Source organism: Homo sapiens, chromosome 7 (assembly GCF_000001405.40).
Source record: "Homo sapiens chromosome 7, GRCh38.p14 Primary Assembly".
NCBI lineage: Eukaryota > Metazoa > Chordata > Mammalia > Primates > Hominidae > Homo > Homo sapiens.
In genome coordinates, this window is record NC_000007.14 from 105,125,946 (window position 1) to 105,145,944 (window position 19,999).

Below are 19,999 nucleotides of genomic sequence, written 5' to 3' on the forward strand. Positions count from 1 at the left end.
ACCACCGCCCGCGCAGACAGAAACAGAGCGCAACTTGAATGACCAAAAGTACAGGCCTTCCTCGCGTTGCTGGATTCAGGATCCAGAGCTGGAGGGCACAGGAGAGGGGCTGGTGAACAGGGTGACCGCAGCACAGGGCTAAATGTGGTCTTCCCTGACAATTTTTCTATCAGCATAGGAATTCTGCTGGGTTGCGTTTCGAATTTAGGAGAAATGCCTTTGTCACCATTAATGCTAAAATCAGCAGCTGCTCTTCAGTTTCTGTCTGCATCGTGGCGCTTTTCAAAAAGAAGAGGTACTACCTCTGCGATTGAAGAATTCCCGAGAATATTTTCCAGATAGAGCAAAGTGCCTTGGAATACTGCCTAGCAGCTCTATGATGTGGGCTATGTGGTCTATGGAGGAGAGAAAAAAAGGATATGGGAATGGGAGGGGCAAAGGGAAGGATGGGATAAAAGAAGAGGGAAAAATTGAAATTAGTAAAAAATCAGAAATAGATTCAAATCAACAGTGTCTGCAGCACATCCATGCAGAGGCTTGTGGGAATGGCAGGCCTCAGGCACCACCTGGAGCAGTAACAGTGACTGAGGCCAGCTCACCCCAGGCCACCCCAGCATCGCAAGCAAATAAGCATGGAGATGGTCAGGTTTACAGATGGCATTCAAGCCAGAATTCCTGGGTTTTCAACTCAGCTCCCAAACAGGACAGAGAAATGGGCAGCACATCAATGGTCAAAAGGACCACATAGAGGCTTCAGGTCTGTATCATCTGTCTTCTCTCAGCCAGCTGGGTTCCTGCCCTGTGCAAGGCCAGGAAGAGCCGCTGGTGTAGGGCCCCTGAGGGCTCGCTGGAGTGCTGCCTGTGCTAGGCAGGCTCTGCCCATTCACTGAGACTGAGGGGGCATCAAACTCAAAGGAAAAGCATCTGAATTTGGTGTTTGAAAACCAAACACATGGCTCTATTTCAGTACAAAAATACAGTACTCTACAGAAGTTCAGGGCTGGCAGAAGACCTAGACCGAGGTATTCAGCAGGCACCAATACTCACCTTCGTCTCTGGAATAGTCTTCCCCAGAATGTGGTTCAAACAAATAATCTCCCGTTGCCAGCTCAAATGCCTAGGATACAACAGACGACATGCTAAGCACTTCAGAGACTGGCCCCCAAGTCAACAGCTTTTTCTCCTTATAGAAGAGACCGCCACTTTATGAAGATCTGAATCAAACAAAATAGCCTCCTGAAAGTGCTCAATACTAATTTTTTTCTTTCTTCCACATTCAAAGAAGTTTCAGAAGTATTTTTACATTTCTAAGGAAAGATATAAGAGCTATGTATTCTCTTCATTTTGCAGGAAGCAAAACCAAAACGTCAGTGAGTCAGCCGCACCTGCATGCAGGCCTGGCCAGAGCGCGGTATGCACTCTATAAATGGTAGAACGAGAGTTCAACCCAGGACTCAACAAGGCCCGTCTGACTCCAGCACCTGCCTCAACCACTATAATAGCCTTGGCCTCTGTATAGCAGACACTGCTGCGTCTTTTAGGCGAAGACCTTCATGTTTTAGTAACCAAGGACTATTTTCAGTATCTCATCAACCATTTTCATCATCATTTCATTCATTTCTGATTCAACCAAAGGAAAACCTGGAAACAAAAAAGACCCTCTTTGTCCCCAGGGCCAGAGGAAGCAGATGGTCTTGCAGACCCTTTTGTGGATGTCACGGAGCACTGGCTTCCTGGGTGGCCACTGGCTGTCCCTCAGCATGCCAGCATGTAGGGAACACATTTCCCTTGCTCACAAAAAAACCCTCAAAAACATGAGTTTAAGCTAGTAACAATATACAAAAATGGCAACTGCTACTGCTCTGCTGATCAAAGAGAATGTTTTAAAAGAGAAAAAAAGAATAAGCTAAATCCCATTTCTGGTTTTTCTCATAGCTGCTTCTATTCTGAACGGATCTTGCTGTCCCAAAAGGTGCTCAGAGGCCCAATCACTGATGCCTGTGGATCTGTGACTGCCCTCCCCATTCCCGCCCCAAGGAGCCAATACTGGGGAAACTTCACTGCATCAACCTACCTTCTTTTTCTTTCAATGACCACACAGTGCTGGAAAGGCACCTTTAAGGGAAGGCTCACCTGCCTGGGTGAGGGGCCACCTCTCCTGGCACTGTCTTTAACAAACCAAGAGTGAGTGCAGTCAGCCCAGGACCACATCTTTTCACCTTTTTTAAAAAAAAAGACTGCCTGTCAATCACTTGAAGGAAGGAAGGATGGTGACAAGATGGCTTCCAGCTGACCGAGCGATAAGCATTAATTTATGAACTCAGGATCCCTGCCCTGAACCTGGCATAGGTCTGAGCAAGACACGGACATGTCACATCTCAGCATGGTGAGCTGGTGGTCCCAGCACTGTGGATGCACGAAGGCACCAGCAGAAAACCCAGGAAAGCCCTTATGTAGGGCCTCTCCTTTCCACCCAATAAACAAAGAAGACAGTTGGGCCAATCCCAGATGAGGGCAGGAAAACCTCATAACTGGCCCCAAATCCAAGTGGAACAACTAGATTACACACTCAATGGCCAGGAGAGTCCTTCTAGCCTGGGAAACAATCAATTCAGTATCTTACAAGCTAAGAGAAAAATCTGAAAACTCTAATGGGACAACGAGGACTTGAAAAGCCTGGATCAAGTTCCAAGCTGCTTTTCAACCCCTGCCTTGAGCCCTATGCTAACTAACTCTTTTAATTAATTTTCAAAATGACTTCAATCTGGTTGCATATATTTCTTTTTCTTTCATATTTTTTAGAGAAGGGACCTCGCTATGTTGTCCAGGCTGGACTCAACCTCTTGGGCTCCAGTGATCCTCTCTCAGCCTCCAGAGAAGCTGGGACTACAGGCGCACTACACTGCACCCAGCTTTGTACATATTTCTTACTGCCAAAATATGTCAGGTATGTATTCTTTGAAAAAAATCATCATTTTGATTAGCACCCACATATTCCCAAGAAAACATGTATAGAAGCCAATCAATGAAATAATTTTTTTTTGAGACGGAGTCTCGCTCTGTCACCCAGGCTGGAGTGCAGTGGCACAATCAATCTCAGCTCACTGCAAGCTCACACCATTCTCCTTGCCTCAGCCTCCTGAGTAGCTGGGACTACAGGCGCCCGCCACCACGCCCGGCTAATTTTTTGTAGAGACGGGATTTCACCATGTTAGCCTGACCTCGTGACCCGCCTGCCTCGGCCTCCCAAAGTGCTGGGATTACAGGCGTGAGCCACCAAGCCCGGCCAAATAATTTTCTTTTTTTTTAAAGGAACAAGGAAGATGAAGGCTGTAATGCTACCCATTTTTGATTCTTTGGAGAGTGGCAAGATTCTCTTAACAATACAACATGTACAACAGGGCAAATGCACATTACAATGAAAAAAACTCTGCCTTCAACTCAGTTACTCCCAGTATAACCTTCTATTGCCCAGGCTGAGTGCAGCGGCACAATTTTGGCTCACTACAACCTCTGCCTCCTGGGTTCAAGCGATTCTCCTGCCTCAGCCACCTGAGTAGCTAGGACTATAGGCACGTGCCACCATGCCCAGCTAATTTTTGTATTTTCAGTAGAGATGGGGTTTTGCCATGTTGGCCAGGCTGGTCTCAAACTCCTGGCCTCAAGTGATCTGCCTGCCTTGGCCTCCCAAAGTGCTGGGATTACAGGTGTGCATCACCTCGCTGGGCCTAAGTATAATCTTTATTATTATTTTTAATACCTGGGAACTCCGGATTCTTCTCTACTTGGCTCAATCCCCTCAAAGGGCTCTTCCCTGGACCTACTTGTTTCCAGATTCTTGGGAGACCAACTACCTCTCTCCTAAAACATTCTCCTATGCTGAAGTATCCCGATTCTGAACAAATAAGATCACGTATTTGTTCTGTAATGTGACCAGTGCCGAAGAAGTCTGGTGAAGTTTGTTGGAATGGCTTTTCTTGTTTCTATGGCACTGACCAGGACTCACCATGGAGTTCATAAAAAGTCCTATCAGAGACTCTAATACATAAATGCAGAGAAACCAATGCTTCAGCCACAAAGAAGTTTCAGATTATATGTACTTACACTGGAAGGTGTAAAGCTCAAAAAAAAAGTAAAACTCAAGAAAAGTAAAACAGATCCAAACCCAACATACCCTTGCTGTGGTCCCTCATTCTGTTGTGCTTCTCCAGCTGCAGAGCCTAAAGCTGTCCTCCCTGACAATAGCCAATGGCTACCACCCGTCAGCTCTCATTCCCAACAGAGTCTCTGTGAGATTTGATGCTATTTATAAATCTCAAAGACAGCCGGGCACAGTGTCACATCCCTGTAATCCCAGCACTATGGGAGACCAGGGCGGGTGGATCACTTGAGCTCAGGAGATCAAGACCAGCCTAGACAACGTGACAAACTCCATCTCTACAAAAAATACAAAAATTAGCCAGGCGTGGTGGCATGTGCCTGTAGTCCCAGCTACACCAGAGGCTGAGGTGGGAGGATCACTTGAGCTTGGGAAGTGGAGTCTGCAGTGAACTATAGTCCTGCCACTGCACTTCAGCTTGGGGAACAGAGCAAGACCTTGTCTCCAAACAAACAAACAAAACCCTCAAAGACTATATATAGGCTTTACCACCAAGAACCATCTGTGGCCTTATGACAGCTTGGTATTATGAGGTCAAATTTAATATATTAAATGTCCTATTTTTACACTACAACAGAACGATGAGGTAAGAAAAACTGCCTCATTGCTCCTAGGTTCTCTAGGAGGAACAAAAGAAACCTCTAAAGCCATGACTTTTGGGGGGTGGGGCAAGCAGTGAATGAGGGCCTGCCCCTTTCCAAAAAAAAAAAAACCTCCCTTATGACAACCAACTGAAAAAGCAAACCTCATAAGCCGTCCTGACAGCACTGAGGGAGCTTATGCTTAATTCTTGGGAAGGGGGCAGGTGAGAAGACAGAAAGGCTTTTCCTTGGGAATCTGTTATTGATATTTATGCCACTGTTCACAGCAATAGCATTTCAAGAAGTAAGCAGGACAGGGAAATTGTATGGAGGGACAAACGTTCATCTAATGGAAGGCAGGTCAGATAACCTGGTATAAAATTGTGCTGAAAGCTCCATTAACCCACTACATCCGTGACTGCGTCCTATTTTTCTGGTTATATCACCAAACTTAATACCCCAAATTAGAAGCACAGCATTTCAGAGTTCAAAGAGTACTTAGCGCCTAATTCGGGGCAGCCCTGCTGCTAGTGGCCATTGTGGTCTAACCTCCCCACATCCTGAAATGGCCCCTGCTCCCCGACTCCCACTCAGTGTCTCCGCAGCTCCCGTTACACTAACTCCCACGTCTCAGTCTGCCTGCTGGGGTCACACAGAGAGGGTCAAATGCCTCTCCACACAGCACTCTCTAAATTCAAAGTGACCATCATTGGCCACCGGTTCTTTTAACCGTTCTTTTCTATACCTAGCTAAGGCAGGGACTTGGTTTTTGATATGGAAGAACTTTAATACCTTTAATAATTTAAACGTTATTGTCTGGTATTATCCTTAAGAGCAACGAGGGAATAGAAAGGCCTGGTGTTTCAGGACCTATCTGGCCATGTGCTGACTCAGATCATGCTGAGTCAAAGCTGAAAGACAGAAAGCACCCTCTTTTTCTCCTATCAGCTGGCACTATCTGCTCAACAATGCTTTTACTTGAGCATTAGAGGAGGTAAAACACAGTAAATTCAAGAAAATTGTTAAATTAACCTCTGAATAACAGAAAATTAATATATTTATTCTGCATTCCTTTTTTCAGTGAGAAGAAAAATGCTAAGCCTTGCACACAATCTTTTCTTTTAAATATTGGAAGAATATGGATAAAAAGCAGTATGGAATAGGAAAAGCATGAAACCCAACAGCAAGCAACCCACCTTTCCCAACACGGAACGCCTAAGTAAATACCACTGAGAAAAAGCTGCTGAATGGGCCAGGAAACAGGGCAGAGGAAGAGAACCAGGAACTGGCTCGCAAATGCAGGGCCCTTTGTGTTCACCAACTCACAGGTTCAGGGTCAATGACCAAACGATGCCAGGCAGGGCCAGGGGAGTTTACAGACAATGCAACTGTGCAGCACAAAACCAGCAGCAAAACAGGCCTGACAGATAGAAGAAGAGGCTTCTGCCGCCCTGTGGAAGCCGTCATCTCAACCACTCTGGGAACAGACTCTGTCAGAGGGAGTGGGCGTTGCTGCCACTGTTTCAGAAGAGGCTAGACATCCTAGAATAAGCCAGAATATCTGCTAGCTCTTGCTTTATAAGGGAAGAGAGATTATGCATTGGCATCTGGGGAAATCCCTTCCAGTCTGGAAAGGTGAGGAACCCTGCATGTCTGGTTGACCAGGCAGAGGCTTACCTGGAGGGGCTCCCACCTGCCCGCCTTAGGCAGTCTTCCCCTGGAGATGCTACCTCATCTTCCTCCACAGTGTGAGTGAAGGGAAAAGCTCCCTATACCCTGCACATTTTCAGGGACCACAAGTGAAGTCACTGTGTCACAACAACTGAGTCTGATTCATGGGGCTGTGGGCTGTGCAGGGCCTTAAGAAGAGACCATGTCTCTCTCACAAGCCCACAACCACACCAAACACCCAGGGCCCGCCTGAGGAGGATCCTTCCACTTCTTAAGATGCCTGCGGCAGCAACCTTCCCCTCACCCAGCCCACGGTGGATGACCCTTACAGTCAGAAAAACTGAGGTCGCATGCCTCAGAGAGACTCAGCCCCATCCAGAGTGTGAAAGGAACGAGCCAATTCCCATGGCAGCAAAGGGCACAGCCGTCCTTACCATACACGCCGTGCTCCAGATGTCCGCAGGGGTGCTGTACCCCGCTCCTATTAAAACCTCTATGGAGCGGTACTGACGCGTCTGGATGTCTTCCGTGAAGTGTTTATGCTGGAAGGGAACAGGCTGCATTACCACGGAGCAACACAGACATTCAAAAAGTGTCTTCGCACACAGAATCAAGACCAAAGGTTTTAGAAAGAAAACTCTACTTACCACCCAACAAGCATTTCCCAGGTCAGCAATTTTTACTCTAATTTTATCTGCATTCCGCGGATCCAGGGGATTCACCAACAAGTCAGCTGCCCGGGTTTTTGCTGGCATGAGCAAACAGCAGGACAGTTAGTGATCGGGATAGGTGGTTTGCATGTGTGAGCACAGTGTTTGCCAGGGTCAGTCTCCTTTCCTCAAGAGTAGTGGAATGATCACTTAGGCCTGGAATACTGTAAATTAAACTTGACAGAACTAAAATTGCTTGTTCTCCACCTCTGGAAAATACTCCAGAAAAGAGCAAACTGGGCTGCCCACAGGACGCCAAGGGCACTGCCTTGACCTTTCTCTTTTTATCCCCAGTTTCTTCGGGTCCAGGTCAGCCCTAGAACAAGCCAGCCTTGCTGTCCCCCTGTCTGCAGCTTTGTGGCGGCTCTTCATGGTGTCAATCCATCCCTTCACGGCCCAGATCGAGCTTGCTGATGCATTATTACAAGGAACATGAAGGTAGAAAGAACACTGCTGTGGGGGCCGATCACTCTCAGTGACACACAGTTCCTTGGACGCCACAAGACATCAGGGTCCCTGGCACCGACACCTCACACCCACATCATCCCCTACAGTTCCCACTGCTTGGGCTGAGCACACACAGATCTCAAGGGGTAGATGACTGTTGATTAACAAACACAGATTAAAGGCAGGGACTAAACTATTCTGGTTTTGTTTTAGACAAGGAAGGTCCCAGACAGAGGTCTCCTGAGATGGCCTGGGCCATAAAGGCAACCTCTGAGGTCAGTCATGAACTTGTCATGTACATGAGCAGTCATTCTAAATTCCAGGATGACTCCAGGGAATCTCAAAGGCAGGTATAGGGCCAGCTTCCCAGAGATTCTGGGGCCAGATCTTCTCAAACAAGTTCAGATCATGCCTGTATCAAGCAGAGTTAACCAAGGGGCAAGTGACAAACAAAAATAATCTGGTGAGGCCCAGAAAAATAGTCCTTAAAGTCAGCATCTTCATCACCAAACCTCAGACTGACCTACAAGATCAGATTTCTGGTAAAGATGAAATAAAACCAGGACTTTTATTTACTGTATAAGTAATTTTGAAATGGTATTTAAAAACCAAGCAGAAAAGCCTGTTCAATGTAGAACATTAAACACTGATATGATTCGGGTTTGTGTCCCTGCCCATAACTCATGTCGAATTGTAATCCCTAGTGTTAGAAGAGGGGCCTGGTGAGAGGTGACTGGATCATGGGGGCAGATTTCCACGTTGCTGTTCTCGTGATACTGAGTGAGTTCTCACGAGATCTGGTTGTTTAAAAGTGTGTAGCACGTCCCCCTTCTCTCCTCCTCCTGCTCCAGCCATGTAAGATGCCTGCTTCCCCTTCTACCATATTTGAAAGTTTCCTAAGGCCTCCCCAGCCATGCTTCCTGTACAGCCTGTGGAACTGTGAGCCAATTAAACCTGTTTTCTTTATAAACTACCGGGTTTCCGGTATTTTTTACAGCAATGTGAGAACAGACTAATATAAACACCTACCTAGGAGAGCCCCTTTGTTTCCTTGAAGCTGGGCACTGCTGAAATGAACTAAACCTCTGTTGGGGTACATACGAGCTGTGAAACCAGGGTGCTTGGGGAGGCTCTGATTCTTCAGCAAGCCCCATAAGAGGAAGGAGGGCCAGCCTTGCAACTTGCCGTAAGGCAGTGAACAGGCAAGGGCCTCAGGACCTAGGGTGCCCACACAGCTCCCTAGGGGGGCTCCAGAGGACGCCAAGAGAATTCTGACCAGTATCTTAACCCTCAAGACCTGTTCCTCTAGCATGTTAATCAAATGAGCCAGCCAGGTACAGATATTCCCTGCTTGCTACCTTCCATATGCCTGTTTCCTTCTTTATAAGGATTCTGCACAGCCTCACCAAAGGCCAGGTATGAGCTCAGGAAAAGAAACACCAGAACTCAGCAAAAATTCAGAAAGAAAGCAGCACAAAGACCAAAAAAGAAGGCAAAATGAATATACACTGATTCACCTGGGGCTGAGAACAGAGGTCCAGGATAAATATAAAAATGCTGACCCAATGGGTAGATGAACAACACTAGACATGACTAGATGAATGCCCCGTATGTCATTTAATCAAGAAGAATCAGCAAGAAGGAAAATGGAATTTGAGGTTTGAAAAATTGGATTCAAATCTAAGTTTCAATATCTACAAGTTGTAAGACTGGCAAATGACTTAAACTCTATGAGGCTTGGTGTTCAGGAAAAGAAGAATCGGAAGGGACCACCCCTTCCCCACCGAAGACACTAAAAACCCAAACACAGGAGAGTCAGGACAGCATCTGGGCGCCTGGCCAGACGCAGGGGCTTCCCTCTGCTGTGACCAGCTGAACCATCGTCTGGGGCAGAGGCTCCCAACTGGTCAGTGAGGGACCAGAGAGCAGCAGCAGAGGGAAGGGGAGGCCCAAGAGCAAGTTCCGCCCCCACAAACAACTCAAATCATAGGTCTAATGAGAAGAGGGCGAAGCCCGGTTAGACATATTGTGGTCCTCCTGAGCCACAGAACGATGTGATTTCTTTTTCTCCATGAGAACAGTAGCCGAGTTGGCTGTTATCTGAGGGCACTCAAGTGGAAGGAGATGATCTGTAATCTGCCACCACTCTGAGATGTTGTTTTTAAAAACATTTCTCAGGAGCTGCTTAATTCAATCACGCTAGAAGAAATATACTTTCAAAGACCCATCACCTCACATTTAAATGCAGGGAATTTTTTTTTTTTTTTTTGAGACAGAGTCTCACTCTGTCGCCTAGGCTGGAGTGCAGTGGCGCGATCTCGGCTCACTGCAGCCTCCACCTCCTAGATTCAAGCAATTCTCCTGCCTCAGCCTCCCGAGTAGCTGGGATTACAGGCGCCTGAAACCATGCCCGATTAATTTTTGTATTTTTAGTAGAGACGGGGTTTCACCATGTTGGCCAGGCTGGTCTCGAACTCCTGACATCAAGTGATCTGCCCACCTTGGCCTCCCAAAGTGCCGGGATTACAGGCATAAGCCACCGCACCTGGCCTAAATTCAGGGGTGTTTCTTGTACTTAATATCCCTCATTAAGGTTCACTGAACAGAATCTCTTTGGTGACATGCTGTTATCCTCCTGGTTCGGGTTTGTAAACAGTTACTTAGCTTCTGATGCGTTCCAAATGATGCTAGGTAATGTATCTCAATAACTTAATTGTATAAAAACACAACAGGAGGTAAAAGAGATTTTGCTTTTCTTTCTTTTCTCAGTATGATAGTTCCTGAACTAAGGTACCAGACTGCTACATTCCCAAGAAGTCCACTGAAACCCAACTGGAATGCTTTTGTCACACCTCCTCTGACTGAGTCACCACAGTAGTGACCTGTCACACGGTTTCCTTCTTACAGATAATGGTGACACAAAGGACAAACTGGAGCTGTCTTCCTTCCAAAATGAAAAGCTTGCAATTGCACTCTGCTTCCACTAAGAGGGGAATGAGTGGAAAGCTTTCACTTCGGGAAGAACTGGGCCCCTTAAGTCACCTTCTGATACGCTAGTCTTTGGGTGACACTGTGGTCACTCATTCCACAAGAAGCTATCCTAGGAACTATTAGATGGTAGCCAACAGTGCCTCAGCATAATGAGACAGCTGCTGTCACACGCACATAACACATGGAGCTAGGCACACACTGACTCTTTACATCATAAGGGGTCCTTACAAGGACGACAAGAATATCCCCTCTATATGGAGGAGGTTCACTATGAGGCCCAAGGAAGTAGTGGAACTAAGAGATTTAATGTTGCCACCTCAACCATTCGTGCAACAAATATTTACTGAGTACCTTCTGTGTGCTAAGCATGGTCTTGGTACTGGGAACACTGTAAGAAAAAAACACAAGCTAAATTAGGAAACTCGTGTACTGGTTGAAAATATGGGCAATAAGGCAAATAAACGAGGAATCCACACATCCTGTCAGGTAGCTAAACAGGCTATGAAGAAAAACAAAGCAGAGAAAGGAGATGGATAATGCCAAGGCTGTTCAGGGGAGATCTTTTCTGAGAAGGTGACATTCAGGAGAGGTCTGAACAAAGGCAGGCATGAAAGTAAGAGAAGTTTGAGGCAAAGGACACGGGAAGTACAAAAATCCTAAGGCAGAAACAGGCTTGCAACTTTGAGAAACTTTAGAAAGAAGCCAGTGTGAACGGTGTAGAATGAATTAGGGAAACAGAGAATGGGTCTGGAGCAGGCACCAACAGAGACCTGCCAGGGAACACACTGGAGAGTTTGTCAGCTTCAGTGAAGGACAACTCAGGGCATCACTACTCTACATGGGAAACACAATGGAGATCATGTTGGTGAGGCGAGGGTGGGTAAGGGGGAAGAAGTTAAGCCTTAAACAGTTCTCTCTGGACTGCCAGACAGAGACAGACTGGGGAGCAAAAGCTCAAGTGATAGGAGCACGGAGGCTGTGTTAACAGTAGCCTAGCAAGGACTGACAGTGGTGTGGGTCCCCATCGAGTGACACAGAAAGGATTCCAGAAATAGCCCACAGGTAAGACCAACAAAACCACCCTGTTCCAGGGCCTTTGTCCTTCAGATGTGTTGAGCCAAGATACACACTAAGGCTCTGGCAGCTGATCATCTAAGAGGGACCATCCTCTTCTCAACCTTCAATGGCTGCCAAATTACTCTAGGAAAAAAGTGTACCTTCTTTAGCCTGGCATTTAGGTTTCTTCAAGTTCCTCAAACTGGCCCCAGTCTTTCTTCTACTATGCCCTAACATGTACATTCTGCCCTAAAGTCAGGATCTACACAAACTCTTCATTGTTTCTCTTGCCTCAAATTCACGAAGTACCGTGTGGTCAAGTGCAAGACTCTAGGCTTATACCCCTTCCCATGCAGAAAACAAAACACACCTCCCATGGGGGAGGCTGCTCTTGCTTATCAAATGGCCAAGCTGCGGGCGAAAACTGAGTGCTTCCAAACAAAGGAGATCCTGTCCCTGGTACATCCCTAGAATTTGCCAATATTAAAATGCTCTTCAAGACCTCCAGTTTCTACCTGATGCAACAGGTATTGGGGATGGTATGTGTGTTGGACACAGTAAAATTGTGACTATAAATGGAAAAAAGCGGGAGAAAGGAAAGAGAAGAAGAATGTAAAAAGGTATCACTCATTTGTTTGTTCGTTATTCAATAAATATTTATCTTAGCACTGAATCAGATGCTGAGGATGCAAAGATAAAAACACACTGCACTCTCCAAGAGTTCACATTCTAATGAGAAGACAGACAGTGACAATGAGCACTGCCCATACAACTAAGACAAGCATGGCCAGCAGGAGCAGAGGGGAAAGAGAAGTAAGCCTGCTGGGGATACAGGAAGCCCTCACCCAGGAGGCAGGCTACTGTGTTGGATCATATCCTAGATCAGGAAAATTTAAAAAGAAAATTTTAGAATTATTGAGGAAATTTGAATATGGAATAAATAATAGATGATATTAGGCCAGGTGTGATGGCTCACGCCTTTAATCCCAGCATTTTGGGAAGCCAAGGTAGGCAGATCACTCGAGCCCATGAGTTCAGGACTGGCATGGGCAACATGGTAAAACCCTACTTTCTCTACCAAAAATATAAAAGTTGACCAGACATGGTAGTGCCAACTGTAGTCCCAGCTACTTGGGGGCTGAGGTGGGAGGATCACTTGAGCCAGAAAGCAGAGGTTGCAGTGAACCGAGATCACGCCACTGCACTCCAGCCTGGGCGATAGAGCAAGATCCTGTCTCAAAATAATAATAATATAAAATTAGTGCTATTCTTACACGTTGTAATAGTATTATTGTTACAATGGAGGACGTTCTAATTCATCTCTCAGAAGATGAATGCTTAAGTATTTAGGAGTGAAGTATCCTAATATGTGTAGCATGCAGTGTCTGTGTACACAAAGTATATGCAATGCGGCAAAATGTGAATTGCTCAATCTATGTGGAGGATATACAGTTGTTTATTGTACTATTCTTTCAAAATAAAAAAATACACAGATGCTCTAATAATTCCTTCCTGCACCTTCCTGGATGGTGCTGGTTATGCAGGGATGTACACTCTCCACTGTGGAGACCACTGCTGTAGATGATGGGGAGCTGTGGAAACTGTGAGCAGGGGAATACACTGATCGGGTGAGCATACTGCAAAGACACTCTAGCAGCACCATGGAAGGGCATGCTGAAAGGCAGGTGGGGAGAAAAGCTGGAGAGAACACAAAGCCAAGACACCAGTAAGGAACCTCCATAATAGGAGAGGCAAGCAATGACACTGCCCACTTTAGGGACAAGGCAAGGGGGACCCCTACTTAGGAGGTATGACTGGCAAAATGAGATGATTTACTGGACATGAGAGAAAAAAAGAAGACATCCTGATGATCAAGTTTCTCACTGGAGCAACAAGAAATGGTGGCAACAAGTGTAGGAAATACAGTATGTGTAGCAGGTTGGCAGGGAAAGTTGTATTCTGGTTTTGGACATGTAAGGTTTGAAGTTTCCTGTGACACAGAGATGGAGCTGTCATGTAAACAATAGGATAAGTCTTATGACTTGCCTGGGCCTCCAATGATGACCATGTGGTAACAAGCAGCAATTCTGCTCCTTTACATGGATTGTGATGACCAAGGCAACTTACATTCAATGGGAAATTTTTCAATATATTATTATTATATGTTATTTATGTACCTTTGCCATTGACCTGTTTTATTTAATTCAGTGCTACTAACAACCTTAGAGGTAGCCATTTCTTTCTTTTGATAGAGGAATGAACCAAGGCTCAGACAGGGTAAGAAACCAAAGTTCCACAGTTATTAAGTTTTGAGCTGGGGTTTAATCTGATATGCAGGTGCCTCTCGGTGTCTGCAGGGGAACTGGTTCCAGGACATCCTGAGGATACCAAAATCCACAGATGCTCAAGTCTCTGATATAAAACGGTGTAGTGTTTGCATATAACCTACATATATCTTCCTATACACTTTAGTTGATCTCTAGTTATTTATAATACCTGCTACAATGTAAATGGTATGTAAATAGTTGTTATACTGTATTGTTTAGGGAGTAATGACAAGGGGGGAAAAATCTGTACATGTTCAATAAAGACACAGTTTTTTTTCCCCTCCAACTATTTCCCACCTGAAGTTAGCTGAACACATGGATGGGAAATCCAAAGATGTAAAACCCATGGATATGGAGGGCTGACTGTACTTGAAGCCACTGCAGCCCAAGCTAATACTTGCAAAATAAGTATGAATAAAAAAGGTACTTTGAGCTGGTCATGGTGGCTCAGGCTCGTAATCCCAGCACTTTGGGAGGCTGGGGAGGGCAGATCACCTGAGGTCAGGCACTGGAGACCAGCCTGGCCAACATGGTGAAGCTCTGTCTATACTAAAAATATAAAAATTAGCCGGGCATGGTGACGGGCGCCTGTAATCCCAGCTGCTCGGGAGACTGAGGCAGGAGAATTGCTTGAGTTCAGGAGGCGGAGGTTGCAGTGAGCTGAGATTGCACCACTGCACTCCAGCCTGGGCAACTAGAGTGAGACTGTCTCAAAAAATAAATAAATAAATGAATGAATAAAATAGAAATAATTAAAAAGGTACTTTGTAAATTACTTTCTATATGAAACTTCAGCCGGGCGCGGTGGCTCACGCCTGTAATCCCAGCACTTTGGGAAGCTGAGGCGGGTGGATCACGAGGTCAGGAATTTGAGACCAGCCTGACCAACATGGTGAAACCCTGTCTCTACTAAAAATACAAAAATTAGCCGGGCATGGTGGCACGCGCCTATAATCCCAGCTACTCAGGAGGCTGGGGCGGGAGAATCGCTTGAACCCGGGAGGCAGAGGTTGCAGTGAGCCGAGATCGCGCCACTGCACTACAGCCTGGGTGACAGAGCAAGACTCAATCTCATAAAAAAAAAAAGAAACTTCAAGTAAGAGAAAAATTGAACTGCAACAGCAACAATAAGTCTGGATAAGGTACCTCTCACTACTGCCCTTTCCCAGAAATTAACCTACATTCTATGTAAGCACCTTCAAACACTCCCTGGAAAGGGGAACAGGAGCTGACCACGTCCAGCCAAGTAAAGAAAGCAAATCCTTAGGAGGATTCATCATAGCCAGTGCGTAACAAAGCCAGCTTACTCGGCGTGCAATTCCAGACTGCTGGAACCAAAGGGGCTGCAGAATGTCGGGCTGTTTGCAGGGCTGGCTCATCAATTTTACTCGCTGTGTGTTAAACAGTCTTGTCAGTAGAGGGAGCAGAGGGAGGTTTCAGAGCTTTTCCCCCATAAGCCAGTATGGAAACCAGCTGTGTTACCCAGTTTTCACTTACTAGAGTCACTTGGCATTCACTCCCAAAATAAGGCTTTGAATAAGTCAAGCCTTCTTAGGTAGACAAGAACACAAGAGCCAATCTATAATCTGTCATCACATTTAAATCCATGCCAATTCCTTGAAAATTACAATCCTGGGCCAGTTACCAATAGTAGGGTCCTATAATCAGGAACAACTATCAAAAGACAATATGACACTTCTTTCTCAATAGAGTCAAAGAGGAGGCATAATTTTCTTGAATAGAAACAAAACAAAACTAAACTAAACTAAATATAATGACATTAGATGGAAGAAGATACGAATTTTAAACTAAACTACACATTCTAGAAAGGTGTAAGTTGCTAAAACTGGAAGGTTTTTGCAAATGATGCTGCTGACTAAATATATTAAAAATGAAAACTGGTCAGAAATAAGATTTGGTATGCAGAGAGCAAGAAATAGCCTAATGGCATAGAAAATTTATTTAAATCACATTACTTCTTCAGGAGTATAAAAGTAATAAAACTGATCAGTACACACACACAGGGCTTGGCCACTTCCAGCCAATTCCTTCACAGCATTTGTTAAAGGCACGTCCCTGGAGTCAGCGATGGCAGACAGTTGATGGGAAGAAACACTTACCTTTTGGCAAATCCCCAGTACTGGAGGCTGAAACCGTTCTGCTTCTGTCATGGGATGGACTGCTCTCCTCTTGCTCAGTAAGTGGTGATCCCTCAGAAAGCACAGAGCCGCAGGCCACAGGTTCTAAGGATCCAGAGAACAACGAGGTGGAAAACTCTGGGAACTGTGACTCGGGAATTTTATGTCGTCCATTTGGCAATTCACCATTGAATTGTTCATAGGAGCTGCTATATGTGTAATCACTTTCTGCATTTGGCTCATCAAGATTATATTCCTCAGGATTTGGGCAGTCTTCTTCATCATCATCTTCATCGTCCAGTTGCTGCTCCAGTGAGAATGGGCCATTCTCAATATGGCCATTGGTTTTAGGTGATTCTATCCACGTAGGGTCTATGTTCGCAAGTTCCTGATCTACATCATCTTCATCTTTTTCAATGTTTTCTTTCTCAGCATCTTCTTTCTCTTCCTGGTCCTCAGCTTCACCTTAAGAATTTGATGGGTCAAGAATTAGAACTTGTTACTCTCCTTAATACAGCCTCATTAAGTACTTATCTCCATCAATAAAATACATTTTGAATATGCTTATGTACCACCTGGTAAACACCTCTTGGCTTTTGGGGTAAAACCTTCAGGTTTTCTAAATCTCATTTTTCATTCATTTAGTAATTGGCCTGCTCTTATAAGAAAAAGTTAGCTTTAAGGGAAAATAACTCTTTCTAAATAAAGTTGCACTTCCATTTCTACCCTCTATAATCTTCAGAAACAGACTTGTGGTGCATTACAGTTAGGTAAAAAGTTAATGACAAAATAAAGCACCATCATTAGCATGATAGAAACATGGAATTTCTCAATTATTTTACATTTTTAAAAACTATTTTGAAATGTTAACATATTTCTGGCATACAGTTCACAAATGAAGTACGAGGCTATTTCCCATATTTCCCAATAGGGAGTTGGAGAGAATCATCCTTGTCATCTGCAGCAGCAGCACAAATCAGCCCCCATGTTGACCTGGCAGAACCCTACTAATGGAGCTCTGAGAACCCCATGCAGCCCAGGTTCCAGGCCCCACTGACCATTGTCCTTTGCAGTCTCTGCCTCAGCCGCCTCCTCTAATCCTGTTGTTTTTAGTTTCACCTCTGGGCAGTATTCGCCATCCTGGTCATTGGAAGGTGCAGCTGAGGTGATGTTTTCTTCTATTATTTTCCTTTCAGCTTCTCGCTCCAATTCTTCTATCTCCTGCAGGCGCTTCTCCAATAACTCAGCCTGCCTCTTCTGTTTCTTTTTCAGTTTTTTCTTTTTGTTTTTAGATATTTTTCCTATCTATGTTAAGGAAAGACCACAGGTCAGTATTCTTCTTTTTAAAGCACCACGATAGTATAACGACTAGCAGCATGGCAAATAGCAATAAACTCTGCTTTCTCATGCCATATTCTATTAAAATCCCAAACCCAGACAGATCCACTTTGTGGTAAGGCTTACGATAAAATCAAAGGGAAAGCAGTGCTGACTGATATCACGTACTAGGTCTACTACCAGGTCCTGCCCTCAGAGGGATATAGCTTAAATCCAGTAAGTCTTCACCATTCAAACTCTAAGAGAACTGAAGTTCGAAATTCTCTTGGCCTTAAAGGAGAAGCTCCTCTTGCAAGTTTTATTTGCTGCTGTCTATATACAAAGTAACAACATCCCAGCTCCTCAATGCCAAAAATGAAACAGGTGCCCGAGCAGGTGTATGTCACTGTGTGTTTGGGTCTCACATATGAAGCTCTTAGCAGCCAAGACAACATGAACTGTAAGAGATAAGCCTATGCTGCAAAGGGAAAAAAGAAAAAGCTACAGCTTTTGTCTGCCTCCCGTCATGGTTACCTGACTTGCAAAGCACTGGCAATGACAGCCTCCAACCTTTCAATCAATCAGTAAATTCAAGCAGCTCAAGCCAGGGAAGAACTATGGGAAACAACTTGAGCTTCTCAGCAGGCCAGGAAGCTTAATTATTAAAGCTCCCTCTTGTTCCAGAACTTACATTCCAAATCAAGAGCTGTCTCAGTAAAAATAGTGTTTTGTTGTTGTTGTTGTTGTTTTCTTTGAGACAGAGTCTCTGTTGCCCAGGCTGGAGTGCAGTGGCGTGATCTCAGCTGACTGCAACCTCCACTTCTTGAGTTCAAGTGATTCTCATGCCTCAGCCTCCCATGTAGCTAGGACTACAGGTGCACACCATCACACCCGGCTAATTTTTTTTTTTTTTTTTGAGATGGAGTCTCACTCTGTCGCCCAGGCTGGAGTGCAGTGGCGTGATCTCAGCTCACTGCAACCGTTACCTCCTGGGCTCAAGTGATTCTACTGCCTTAGCCTCCTGAGTAGCCGGGATTACAGACGTCCACCAGCACACTCAGCTAGTTTTTGCATTTTTGGTAGAGACAGGATTTCACCATGTTGGCCAGGCTGGTCTTGAATTCCTGACTTCAAGTGATCTAGTGGCCTCAGCCTCCCAAAGTGCAGGGATTACAGGCGTGAGTCACCACACCCAGTATCTAATAAGGACATAGTGTTTTGACAGGACCACAAAATAGATCAGTCTCTTTCTTATTTAACATCCGCATGGAAAAAATTAGAACAACAGCTTCAGAAAAACAGGTAACTTAGCAGCCAATCAGAAATAATGTAAAGTGGTTTTGAAATAAAAATACTTCAACTCCATCACCTCACATTTCACTAAACTTGGCCACCATAGTCCAGAAAATGCATAAAGAAGACAATTTTTGAAAGGCTCTAACTATCCCAACTCTGCACAGATCATTAAAACTTAACAAGACAGGCTGGGCGTGGTGGTTCAAACCTGTAATCCCAGAAATTTGGGAGGCCGAGGCAGGCAGATAACTTGAGGTTAAGAGTTCGAGACCAGTCTGGCCAACATGGTGAAACCCCTCTCTACTAAAAATACAAAAATTAGTTGGGTGCGGTGGCAGGTGCCTGTAATCCCAGCTACTCGGGAGGCTGAGGCACAAGAATCGTTTGAACCAGGGAGGGGGAGGTTGCAGTGAGCCGAGATCGCACCACTTGCACTCCAGCCTGAGCAACAGAGTGAAACTCAGTTTTCAAAAAAAAAAAAAAAAAAAATTAACAAGACATTAAGTCTTACCTATTTGAGGATACACAGCTTTTATAAATGTGTCTACCCTTTAAATACACAACTTTTTTATAATTTGAACAACTCAATAATAAACGGTCTCTTTTAACATGGTGCATATAAAGTAATATGCGTAAGTACTTACAGGTTTCTGCTGTGGAGCCGTACTCACTAAAATAAAATCAAACAAAATCTGTATTTAGCAGAAAACAGACACATGCCTTCATGTAGGTCATTCGAATTGCAAAGTGAAATAATTATTGTCTTTTAATGGCTATCCAACTTCAAAAACTATTAATCAGAGCTTCTTAATCACAAGGATCTAGAGTAAGTTTATGCCACTGAAACAAATGAGTGACTCCTGAAGTCACAGCAGAAGTTACTCATACTGAGCCATTTCTCTTATTTATCTAAAATGAAATACTAATACATCTCAAACACAGTCAAGCTCAAGCACCAACAGATCACTTAAGAAAATGGAAAAGAATACATATCACAGTCATTAAACCAAATTTGTTTAAAATATAATGAAATGAACAATGTAGATGTACATCGATATTTGGAATCTATTTTGCAAGCTTTCTATAATTTAAATCAAATACTGCAGTTGGTATGCAGCAAATAGTCTAGGAATCACATGATTAAACCCCTACACCAGGGTCAAAAGCTTAACAGGCTGGGTCCATGATCTAAACAACACCCTGATGGCAGTAAAGGAGATGTGAAGAGAGCCCCAGGCAGTCCCAGGAGCCTCAGCCCTTTAGTATCCATGCTTGCCTGACAACACACAAAGGCACAGATCATGGT

The 19,999-nt window shown here is 44.7% G+C and overlaps 1 protein-coding gene and 1 long non-coding RNA gene across 35 annotated transcripts in view, besides 2 other annotated features; one reads left to right on the plus strand and one right to left on the minus strand.

Moving 5' to 3' along the window:
* SRPK2 (SRSF protein kinase 2) overlaps positions 1-19,999 on the minus strand; it is a 284,618-nt gene that overhangs the window by 11,206 nt on the left and 253,413 nt on the right. For 24 of the 34 annotated variants that reach the window (XR_007060147.1, XR_001744862.3, XR_007060148.1 and 21 more), the window contains 7 exons: positions 19,338-19,363; positions 17,139-17,385; positions 16,063-16,545; positions 7,059-7,159; positions 6,846-6,953; positions 1,048-1,117; positions 303-395 (listed from right to left, as the gene is read on the minus strand). Coding sequence is in view for 24 of the 34 variants with exons in the window: in XM_011516536.4 (XP_011514838.1) it covers positions 303-395; positions 1,048-1,117; positions 6,846-6,953; positions 7,059-7,159; positions 16,063-16,545; positions 17,139-17,385; positions 19,338-19,363 (1,128 nt within the window). In the remaining 10 variants the exon portion in view is untranslated. The remainder of the gene's footprint in view (positions 1-302; positions 396-1,047; positions 1,118-6,845; positions 6,954-7,058; positions 7,160-16,062; positions 16,546-17,138; positions 17,386-19,337; positions 19,364-19,999) is intronic. The other 10 variants (XR_007060151.1, XR_007060150.1, XR_007060153.1 and 7 more) reach the window with 2 other exon arrangements.
* Positions 2,841-8,228, plus strand: LOC124901717 (uncharacterized). The gene is made up of 2 exons (XR_007060465.1): positions 2,841-2,947; positions 5,822-8,228. It is a non-coding gene; the product is annotated as an uncharacterized LOC124901717 (long non-coding RNA).
* Positions 5,586-5,695: a silencer, noted in NCBI's record as "silent region_18515". NCBI's record gives its function as "represses an Ori minimal core promoter by ATAC-STARR-seq in GM12878 lymphoblastoid cells {active_cell/tissue: GM12878}" and the evidence as "EXISTENCE:reporter gene assay evidence [ECO:0000049][PMID:35858748]".
* Positions 15,916-16,092: a silencer, noted in NCBI's record as "fragment chr7:104782308-104782484 (GRCh37/hg19 assembly coordinates)". NCBI's record gives its function as "represses an EF-1alpha promoter that drives an FKBP-Casp9 reporter gene in an ReSE screen in HepG2 liver carcinoma cells {active_cell/tissue: HepG2}" and the evidence as "EXISTENCE:reporter gene assay evidence [ECO:0000049][PMID:32094911]".